This window comes from Homo sapiens, chromosome 14 (genome assembly GCF_000001405.40).
Source record: "Homo sapiens chromosome 14, GRCh38.p14 Primary Assembly".
Classification (NCBI taxonomy): domain Eukaryota; kingdom Metazoa; phylum Chordata; class Mammalia; order Primates; family Hominidae; genus Homo; species Homo sapiens.
The window spans coordinates 21,874,921-21,887,086 of record NC_000014.9 but is presented as its reverse complement, the minus strand read 5'-3'; the positions used below and the strand labels follow the sequence as shown (position 1 = coordinate 21,887,086).

The 12,166-nt window shown below is 36.7% G+C and overlaps 1 gene; it reads right to left on the bottom strand.

Moving 5' to 3' along the window:
• The window catches only part of TRA (T cell receptor alpha locus), a 930,229-nt gene that overhangs the window by 665,046 nt on the left and 253,017 nt on the right, over nt 1-12,166 (bottom strand).

Sequence of the window (12,166 nt, the reverse complement as noted above, 5' to 3'; positions counted from 1 at the left end):
TTCTTTTTTTTTTTTTTTCAGAGCAAGGGTGGAAATTTATTTTAAAAGGCTTTAGAATAGGAAAGAAAGGAAGGTACACTTGGAAGAGAGCCAAGCCCGGCACTGAGGTAAAGCGCAGTGTTTAACCTTGACCCTAGAGCTTTATAGGCTTTCCCCTTTCCCATGATCCTTCCCTTAGGGTGGGCTGCCTCTGTGTGCAGTACCCATCTTACCCTTGGGAAGTGAGTACACAAAGTATGTTTAGGAAGTAGTACATAGACTTTCAATGACATCTTGTGTGACTGTTTATTTTTCTAGTTTCTCTCGTTGCCTTTCTTGTAAAAAGCTCATATCTTCAAATTAATTTCCAAAAGTTATAAATTTGGTGTCTCTTTCTGCCTTTCCATCTCAACCTAAACAGAAAATCAGATCTATGAAGGGTTATCTATGCAAGAAACTTAATTGTGTCTACAGAGAAAGAAGCACAAACAACTACTGTTCCTCCTCTTGTTCATAACATGCTTTGTTTCCTTGCAGAAGCTTGTGGCTGGAGGCCATGAAGGATGCAGGCTCTTTTCTACTCAAGGACCATGTAGCCAGTATCCATCAATGATGGCTTGGGCAGGTCTTTTCTATTCCCACCAACAACTTCATAGGAAATAGAATGAAAGAGAATATACTAATATCGAAATCCCTTTCTCTAAGAGTACGTTGCAAGTGGCAGAAATCACAAAAGCCATTTCTCAGTAACTGTAAAAACCAAAGAAGGAGCAACCCAAGATGGCAGTCGCCACAGTCTTGGAAAATTTATTTAAAAAAATATATAACTTTTAAAATTGAATGTGGAGTTGAAGCACAGTCCTTGTAGAAAAAAATCACCTTTTGAATATTTGTAACAAAAATAGTATGGGTCAATAGATCTAATGTTGTACCCAAGAGCGATATCAGTGCTAGCAAGATGACACACTTTACATAACATCAAAGTTGTACTGAAAAAGCTTCTGTGCCTAATAATGTCTAGATGACATATAGAACTCTCCTTCATATGCCTTAAGGACAGTGTTATGGCAATCAATCAAAGAGAAATCACACTCCCCTTCTCCACTGGATTAAGTGGTCTTCATTTTCCATGGCATAAAATTTTCTAGAAATGTCTCGTGGACCTCAAAGTATTGGAAAGCAAGATTTTATTCAAAGGCAATTTATTTTAAGATACTACTGCAAATGCTACTAATTTTGTGTTCATTTGAAATACAGAAGTTGTACTATGAAAAACAACAAAGGAGATTTTTATACACCTGCAAAAACACAAGCATCTTTACCCATTGTGCTCCTATTAATATGTATCTATAATTATTATTTATCCACTAGTTTGTTAAATAATTTAGGGGAAAATGGGAGTTATAAACAAAAACTACAAAAATATTGGCATTTATTCTTATTTATGTAATTACCTTCATCATTGTTCATTATTTTGTATGGCTCCAAGTGTCTAGTGTCATTTCTTTTCTGTCTGAAAGATTCCCTTTAGATTTTCTCATAGAGCAGGTCTGCAAGTGATGAATACACTCAGTTTTTGTTTATCTGGGGCTGTTTTAATTTCTCCTTTGTTTTAGAACAATAGTTTTACCAGATATAAATTGGTGGTTGACAACTTTTTTCTTTAAACACTTTATACCATCCTACTGCCTTCTGGCTTCCATGGTTTCTGATGAACAATTGACTGCTAATCTTATTAAGGATCTCTTGCATGTGGCTACTCACTTCTCTCTTGCAGCTTTCAAGTTCTCAATTTGTCTTTTTCTTTAAACAATTTGATCATAATATGTCTCACTGTGAATTTTTTTGCCTTCATTCTACTTAGTCCTTTTTGAACTTCTTGGATGTGTAGATCCATGTCTTCTATCAAATTTGGGGAGTTTAGGGTCATCATATCACAAATATTTTTCCTGAATCTTTCTGTCACTCCTCCCATTCTGGGAATTCTGTTATACTTATGTCTGTGCTATTGTTAATGTCCCACAGGTCATTTAAGCTCTTAGGTATATATTTTTTCATTCTTTTTTCCTTCTGCTTCTTAGACTGAATAATTTTATTTGGCTTATCTTCACATTTGTAGATTCTTTCTCCTACCTGCTGTTAAGTCCCTTTAGCAAATTGTTTTTTAGAAAAAAACTTTTCTCTGTAGCCAATTCTCCACCCTGAGGGGATTTTGAGTTGTGTGAAACACAGGCAAGCCCTTTGAATTAGCCCTTCAATGAGCCACTGGAGAGGTCAAAGTAATCAAGCACTACTTTGATATAACAAGGTCCACTCTGCTTCTTCTAGCACCAGGAACCCATACTTGGAATGGAGGATGTAATTTAAAGACTGTCTTAAAGCCAGTGATGAGGAGATGGAGCAAAGGTAAGTTAAAAATAACACAAATTCTCCTACCAGGTTGCAACTACTTTTTTATTGACTAAAGATGTGCTTGGTAGCTGTAAATCTTTCTGTGGTATTTGGCTGGAGTAAACTGGTTATAGTCTTTCAGTTTTGTGTCTTGACAGTCTGTTATTCTCCTGGTTTTTTGGCTAAAGAAAGCAAAAGCCTGGTCTTTGGGCTTTTTTGTACATATTCACTAACATTTCCAGGTCAGTGGCTACTCCTGATTGTATGAGGCAAAAGGAAACTCATGGAACTCACTGCTTTAGCGTTTCTGAAATTTCTTAACCAGTTGGGCTTTTTCTCCCCACTTTTTAGAATCTTTTAATTTTTTTATCTTATGCACAGATTATGATGGTTTGAATTATAATTTTTCAGTGGTATGAAAGCAGTACACAATCAGTAGAAACTGAACTTTATGTACATATACAACTATTCTGTTTTTCCCTTTTGGTACAGTATTCAATAAATTACATGAGATATTCAACACTTCATTATAAAATAGGCTTTGTTAGGGATGATTTTGCCCAACCATAGGCTACTGTAAGTGTTCTGAGCACATCTAAGATAGGCTAGGCTAAGTTATGTTGTTCAGCATACTAGGTGTATTAAATGTACTTTTTACTTACAGTGTTTTCAACTTATAATGCATTTAGGGGGAAGCAATCCCATTGTAAGTCAAGGAACATCTGTAATATCCAGAATCATTAGCTGTATGTAACGAGATGAATGGAAAAAAAGTATACCTTCTCTAACTTTCTAGAAGTGGAAGGCATGATGCTTCTTTTTTTCTCCTAACAGCAACCTTAGAACAGCCTGGTAGGTTTACTGTCCTGGTAGCAACATGGTCAGAATGGTATTAAAACTGAATTCTGGTTCAGCCACCTGGATTCTTTTGTTGGACAAACATGGTCATATATTATGAGGTTAACTATCATTAATTTGAGTGTTCTGCTCTAGGAATTATTGTACAATGGTCCACGAGGGCCCAGGTAATAAATAAAATGGGTATATATAAATGTCATAAAATACCTTTTTCCTCTATTTATTGTTCTAGACAAAAAGTTTGAGTATGACTAGGAACCGACCACAATAAAGGCAAAGCTTTAGCTACTAGAATGGGATGAACAAATTTTGTGATTGTGGATAAAAAGAGCAACAACACTGACACCTAGGAAGGGAAAATCTTGGACCACTGGAGGTGAAGCGAGTGAGGATTAATGCTCTCTTTGTATGCTAGATGAAGCACACAGCCTGGCAAGGCAACCATATAGTTTGGTTGTGTGTTGGTTTGTCATCTCCTTCCACATTCCATGAAAACAGAAAAACTCCTGTGAATATGGCCTCTCCTGAACATTTCTACAACATGAATGGCAGCTTCCCAATACAGATTCCCCATCCTCTTAAGTGTGAAAACACAGGAATCAGCACAACATTTTCTCAATCTGATTCATACAAACGTGTATTTTTCCCCTGGTGTCTGGACTGTCTTGGGTTATACCATGAATGCCTACAGAAGTTTCAAATACTCACTGACCCTGCTCATATAGCCTAACCAAAGTGAACTAATGCTGACCCAAATAAAGTGTAGCAATAAATTTCAAACTGGATTAATTTCGGCACCTTTGGTTATGTTTATGTCTGGGGAATAGGGACCATAGGAGATCTCTATATTGGGAATAATAGTTAACTTTTTGGCAATTAAAACAAAGATCAGCATGTCAGTCTAAATTTCCATGTGTAGGTCATATTAAATAATACACTATATCCTAGCTGTCTGTACTTTGGGACTTATTCACAGCTGGGAGAATCTAGGATCCTATGAGGCATGATTGAGGTTGCTATTGCAGGTTGGTCTCCTCTTCATGCTTAGAGTTCTACTGACAGTAGCCTTAATTAAATCTTGTGTAAGACAAATTCTATGCGTTTACTCTCTACCTCTCTAGTCAAATTAATCAGAATGACTGATGGAGTGGAATACTCATAAGAAAAATTTCCAGCAGCTAACATGACATAAGACCATGGAGTGGATAGTGTTGAAAGACAGTCCACTATGAGTCTCTTGTACCCCTACATGACCTGCTGGGTATGCCAATAGTGTAAAGCCATGACCTCCCTACCAGGACCACTTTTCAGAGTTAGGCTTGCAGCAATCAACCTTAAGGGATGAGTTAATGACTCCCTGTACGACAAAGAGCAAGCTGGCTTACTGTTTACTGTTGCTATAAATTTCCCAGGCTCAGAGTTCCTCATCTATGACACAGCACCACTGCATGCAAACTACTCATCAGCACTCACTGTATCATCTTTTGGGGACTTAAGGAAAGAGTAACTGAAGTGAACTTACTAATGTTTAGGCTGTTTGCTGTGCCATAAGTAACAAAATCCTTTGTCTCTGACTAAGGAGTCTCATGTCTTTACTGAAAACCTGGATGAAACAACACACTTATTAGCTTGCAGGAAGAGGGAAAAAAAACCAAGAACTGATAACACCCTTCTCTACTATAGTAAAGGCTTGAACTACATGTGAGAAAGATAAGTTTCTCCAAACTAGTCTGGAAGAGACCTTTTTTTGAAGGATGTAATGTATATAGCCCCATAGGTAATTAACCATCACTTCCAATAAAATGCTTGAGCAATTTTATAATATACTTTAATGAAATAAAGACTCCTTCTGGGAAATTAGTGTTACCAACTCAAATGACTATTAATCTTTTGAGAAGCCTAATAGCCACTACACAGATGGTCAAAAGCAGGGTAATTATGAACCAGTCCTTTGAACGTAAATATCTTTAAACCAGATCTTTTAAAAATCTGATCTACAACACGTCTACCAAGGCTATTTATTTGAATTTGTTTCCTGAGGGGCATTTACTCTTACAGTAATTTGAATTATAACTTTGACTTCAGCTCATAATTATTGGACTTGAGAAGTTACTTTTATACTTTCTAAAATGTTTTAAGTGTTTTTTTCTTCATTTAGATATTTCATCATGTGTTACTAGCCTTTAGAGTTGACTAAGTGCTTCAGATCACATCTGATAAAGTGAGGTCACTTTAGTGAGGAAAGGCTGAGACCCTGAATGGATCTAACTATTTGACCAGAGTTCACTGAGCACAGAAAGGCTGGGTTTTGAGTCTGGGAGCAAGGGTGAGAAAGAACTGAGCTGCCCCACATAATGAAGCAGAGAGAACACAAAAAGAGGTCAAAGTTGCTAGGGTGAGACTGAGAGGAAGGAAAAAAGGAAAGAGGAGGGCCAAATAACATCCATCCATTTATCATTTAGTGAATATTTTTTTGACTGACTATTATAGGCCAGTCATTATTCTAAGCACTAAGAATAAAGCTGTCCACTAAACAAACAATACCTCTGACCTCGTAAAGCCTGTATCCTAGGTGGAGATATAGACAATAAACACATTGACAATAAACACGTAGACCAACAATATAACTGCACATTATGATTATTACCGTAATGAAATATAACAAGGGTGTTGTAATAGAGTTAGGGGAAAAGCCATGATGGCCACATTAGTCAGGATGATCAGCAGAAGTCAGCAGGTTTTCTCTATAGCAGTGGTATTTGAGCTGAGACCTGAGGAATGAAAATGAGTCAGGCTCACCAAGATTTAGGGTAAGAGCACTGCAGATGATTGAGAGAGTTAGACTAAATGTGGAAAGGACATGGCAAGTTCAGAAATCTGAAAGGAGGTCAGTGTTTTTGCTGCATAGAAAGCCAGGAAAAAAGAGTTTAAAGCTGAAGGGACAGGGGAGGTTTGAATGATACAGATCTTTGTATGCCACAGCCTAAATTTGCATTTTATTCCAGGAGCAATAGAAAGCCATTGAAGCATGTTTGCCAATTAGAGACATCTCTTTATTTATACTTTAAAAAATCGTTCTGGGAACCCATCAGATGGGTGCTTCTCAAACTTTGAAGTGATAGAATCACCTGGGAATGTTAACGAAATGCAGATTCAAATTCAGTCAGCCTTGGGTGGAGGCTGAGCATCTGCACAAGTCCAGACAGTGCTGGCCCCGACTCTGAGTAGCAAAAGCATGGAGAATAGATTGCCTTGAGGAAAAAGAGACCAGTTAGTAGGTTGGTGCAAAAATAATCGCGGTTTTTGCCATTGAAAGTAATGGCAAAGCCACAATTACATTTGCACCAGCCTAATAGAAGGTAATGTGGGCCAGAACAGTATTCTTCAAACCTTTTAAAAAATCTTATTGTATGAAAGAATATTCTATGTGATGGACTCTGTTTTTAAATCACATTTTTAATAATAAAATATATAAACTCACACTTTAAAAGAAAACTAAAACATTGCTAAAGTGTTTATTAATAAAATGGAAGCTACTTTAAGATAATAATGGTCATAATTGATAAAGTATTGAAAAATCAGCATCACCATGTGCTGCTGTTGAAATTACACTTTGGTGAAATATATCTTCAGGAACATTAGGCATTTAGTGTTATATGTTCTCCCTTATTCAAGCAACTCTATTTCCATTAAAATTACAAATTTAATTATGTTTTTAAGAAGCATTATCTATAACACTGTATAAGAGGAAATAATACCAAAAGTGATAAATTTTTTAAAATATATCTATATAATGGAAACTAGGCAATCACTTAAAATTATGCCCTCTGGGTGCACATCAAAAGTGGATTGGATAAAGAAAATGTGACACATAAATACCGTGGAATACTATGCAGCCATAAAAAGGAATGAAATCATATCCTTTGCAACAGCATGGATGCAGCTAGAGATCATTTTCCTAAGCAAATCAATGCAGAAACAGAAAGCCAAATACCATATATTCTCATTGATACGTGGGAGCTAAACATTGAGTGCACATGGACATAAAGACTACATGTAGATACTGAGCATTACTAGAGGGGGAAGGAGAAAAGGGGCAAGGACTGAGAAAATAACTGTTGGTATTATGCTCAGTACCTGGGTGATGGGATCATTTATACACCAAACCTCAGCATCATGCAATATGCTCAGGTAACAAATCTGCACATGTACTACCCCCTGAATCTAAAATAAAGGTTGAAAATAAAAGAAAATAAAATAAAACTGTGCCTTCAATATAAGCTTCCTGGGATGAAAACACCTAAACATAATGTTGAGAAAAACAAGCATGGTAATAAATACTGGATATATTGCAAACCACTTTTATAGAAAAAATAGCTACATATGTATACCAAAATTTTTTACAGGATAATAGTTATAATTTCTTGATTATGAAATTATAGGTGTGTTCTATTTTTCTGGGTGTTTTATGTCTTTATATATCATTTTATATCTTTATATATACATATAAGTAATAAAAATGTAATTTAGTTCAAAATTACAACACACAACTCCTTTTCTCAAACACCGAATCCCGCTTTTCATCTTTCATGGAAAAAGCAACTGACAAGGGGCCAGAATGCCTGGCTTCTACTCCAGGCTTCCATTTCACTGCAACACATGCTTTGAGTAAAGTGAAGCCATGCCTGTGGAGCCTGCTTTTTTTCATCTATCAAATGAGGGGCATGAGCTGGAAATGTATTTTCTAAAGTGCGATTGATACAGGAGGTCATATTAGGCAGAACACAGATGGTCTTTCTGACTGTTATATATGTAACATTATTTTAATTTGTATTAGGAAAAAATATCTTGCACATCAAATGCACATTTTATAACATATATGTGGTCCCACTGATAGTATCTATTAAAGTAAGGACAATATTTTACATATTTTTGGCATCTATTTAATAGAGAAATCAATTTAATGTTAAATTAAGTAAATTATGGAGTAGATGATACACAGATACAGCAAACATCATTTAAAGATTATGAAAATATAAGTTAAATGCTGCTAAGTGTACAACCAGGGGAAACTTTGCTCCATGGACTCAGAGACTGTGACCTCTCAGAGCAAACAGTAAAGGAGTGGAAGGACTCTGGGCAAGCAGGCCCAGGATCTGTATGGTCTACATTGAGGAATGAAATTTCAATAATGACAAAAGGAAACATAATTCCATATAAATTCAGCTTCTTCACATATGAGAGATGGTGCATTATTCTTCACTTCTGTTTGGAGACAGAGGTTATAAAGAAAGTTCCCCCTACACATAAACAGTTAAGAATGGCATGCATTCCCTCCTGGATACTCAGGAATGAAGGACTCTGCTCCGGCGTATGTAGTCTGTTCACCCCTGTTTAAACAGAGAAGCACAGACAGATGACATTCATTCATGGCTGACAGCTTTTAGAAGATATGCTCTCTTTTCACAGCCCCCACAGGTGAGCACTGAGGCCTTAACCACCCTTCTATAACTTCCAGACTTTTAAATAAGATACTACACTCGCTCTTTTTCATATTTCCAGAGCCCAGCAACTCACAGCACAGCTCCCAAGAGAAAATCAAGAATGAAACTCCCAAAGCCTTCTTCATTTTTATCCCTCAGACTCACGGAGGACTCTGGCTGGGGCCTGGGAGCCCTCAAACACTACCAAGCCAAATCTCTTGTTTCTCTGAGTGAATATTCATAGTTTTGTTGCAGGAAGCTGAGAGTCTCCCCATCCAGCCAGAAACAAGATTTACTCCCCCATGCACAGATCGCACAGCTGTCTCTGATCTCTGAAGAGGTAGCATGGGAAAGGACCCTGGCAGAACCAGGTGCTGATTCTCAGTCAGCTGCATCTAGCATTTGTCCCTTAGATTTTTCTCTTTCCTTTTTTCTTCTGTAATACTTCCTGGGCATCTACCATGTATGTACAAGTTGTAAATTGAATAACTAAAAAGGATTCCTCCCCCAAGGATGACCTAGAAAAGTTATTTTCTCCCAGAGCAGAGCTCTGTTAAATAAGCTCCCAGTTATGGATCTAGTTATTGGCACTGTAGCTCAGTATAAAATGGTGTATATCTGACTCCTGCTCCATAACGCTCATGTGAATCCATCATAGAATTTACACTAAGTTATACCTGAAGCAAGAAAGCTTCATTCTCTACCCGTAAGGCCTATGAGATAAAGAAATAGTTCAAATAATTGGATGGAATCAGGCCAGTGTGAAATAGTGACTCTCAGTCCTAAATATAGTAAAATATAATAATATAACCAATAGCAGGAGAGTAGAGGGTTAAGCCTTATCTATCCTTAAATTTTCTTGTTATTTTATTTCAAATTGTCTTTGTTGCAATATCTCATTTATATCCAAGTATAGCTACCATTGGTGAGAAATTGTTCCCTACCACTACAATTCAATCATTTAATTAAATTCATGAAATTTAATTCAATCCTTACAACTATGTGGAGAGGTGATTGTTATTGTTATTACAATTGATGATGTCTAGGTGGCCTGAGTTTAAGTAATTTTGTCAATGGTCAAATAATTTAGTAAATGACAGGTATATTAATAGTACTTCAGTGACTATGCCTTGTAATGGTCACATGGAACCTGCCAATCACTAGAATAGGCAAGACAAATGCCTATAGTGAAACAGATATATTGGAAATACCTATATTGGATATTCCTGTAAAAGAAGGGAACACTATAGACAATTGTAGATCTAAACCTCATGAGGGAAGGTCTTTGTTGTCTGCATGTGTCTGTTTTATTCATTATTCTACTCTTCATACCTACAAAAACAATTGTTGCTTATTGTGTGTTTCATAAGTAAGTGTATAATGAATGAATTCAATGTGTGTCTGTCGTTTAATGCCTAAGTTTTCTATCTCTCCATGATGCTTACTTGTGTCTTTTCGGTGCCACACTATTCTCCTAAAAATACCCCTAAAACTTAATTGCCCACATACTTGGAATTTTATCTATTGGTTAAGTTTTCATGCATTTCATCTTATTCCTCAATTGATTTGCAAGATTTTTCTGGTAAGTTCATTCTGCTTAAGAGTAACATTTTATACTACTGTCGGTATAGTCAAAGGTCCTAATACAGTACGTTGTACACATAGGGGATACATATTTATTCTCGGTGAATATGTATTCTTCTTGCTTACTTACTGGATGATTAGCCACCAATTTAACCAAGTCAATGCAGTCTTTTTTACATTATTAACTGAAGAAAAGTGGTGCCCTTTAAAGACGTTCTTAAGATTAAGAAACAAAAAGAAGTCAGAAGGAGCCAAATCAGCACTGTGAGGGGGATGCCTAATGATTTCCCACAGAAACCTAAATTCTCCTCGCTTGATGAGAGGAATAAGTTGGAGCATTGTCGTGGTGGAAAGGGATTCTCTGGTGAAGATTTCCCAGGCATTTTTCTGCTAAAGCTCTGGCTAACTTTCTCTAAACATTCTTATAATAAGCAGATGCTGTCATTCTTTGGCCCTCCAGAAACTCAATAAACAAAATGCCTTGAGCATCGCAAAAAACTGTTGCCATGACTTTTGCTCTTGACTGGGCCACTTTTGCTTTGACTGGACCTCCACCTCTTGCTAATCATTGCTTTGATTGTGCTTTATCTTCAGAATCAAAAGGATAAAGCCATGTTTCATCTCCTGTTCCAATTATTTGAAGAAATGGTTCAAGATCATTATCCCACTTATTCAAAATTTCATTGAAAGCTCTGCTCTTTTCTGGAGCTGATCTGAGCATAGTGGTTTTGGCACCCATCAAGTACAAAGTTTGCTCAACTTGAACTTTTCAGTCAGAATTGTGTGAGCTAAACCAGTTGAGACATTTATAGTGTTGGCTATTGTTTCCACTGTTAATCATCCGTCCTTTTTGATTAGGGCACTTATGGTTAATTTTTTCTTCACAAATTGTTATGGAATGTCTGCCACTGTGGGCTTCATCGGCATCCTCTTGTCTATTCTTAAACAAATTATCCATTTTGTTTAAGAACAGACAGACAAGAGGATGGCTGATTTTATTGGAGTGTTGAGCCTATAAATTTTTCATAAAGCATCAGTGATTTCACCATTCTTCCACCCAAGTTTCACCATAAATTTGATGTTTGTTCTTGCCTCAAGTTTAACAGAATTCATGTTGCTCTGATAGGGGCTCCTTTCAAACTGATGTCTTATCCTTCTTAGTGCCTCAAACTAAATCCTGTTCAGATATGTTATAACAACTTAGTATAAGTTTATTTTGGTGCCAGAAAATTTGAAATCCATGCACCGTTTTTCATAATACGCAATTTCTTTTTTCCATAAACTTTTTGAAGACACCTAGCATTTATTGAATAAACTGATCTGAAAATCCAACAATTCACAAAGAGTGTTGAATTTGTTTTTATTCATCTTTCAGTCATATGTTTCTGAATTACCTTAGCCAATTCTTCCAGCTCAATCTAGTGGCCAGATGGCAAATTGCTTATTGTGGCAGTTCTTTCTCTCAATCATTGGTCAAAATTTTGGTGTGTCTAACTTCAAACCAAAGACTCAGGGATTAGGATGTTTTTGATGAATGATAATTCTGGAAATGGTCTATAAGCCTAGAGAGGTATTTTCTTACAGTGTTTTCCCCCGATGCTACACCTGTGCTGTCACAACCATAGCCACTTCCTGTCTGTGATGGTGAATCCTTTCTTTGGTCTCTCCAGCAAGTGGATGTCTCAAGCAGACCCTTGGGGATTTTGTGTACCTCACTCCAACAGTTCTCTCACTGTAGCCTCTTTCAGTGCACAGAAACACATCACTGAGTTCTCCAGTTGTGAAGTGGAGATGACAAGTTGATGGATTTGCTTGCCTTCTGCAAATGCAATGAGTAGTGACCTATTGCTTATTGCTGATCGTGAGTCCTG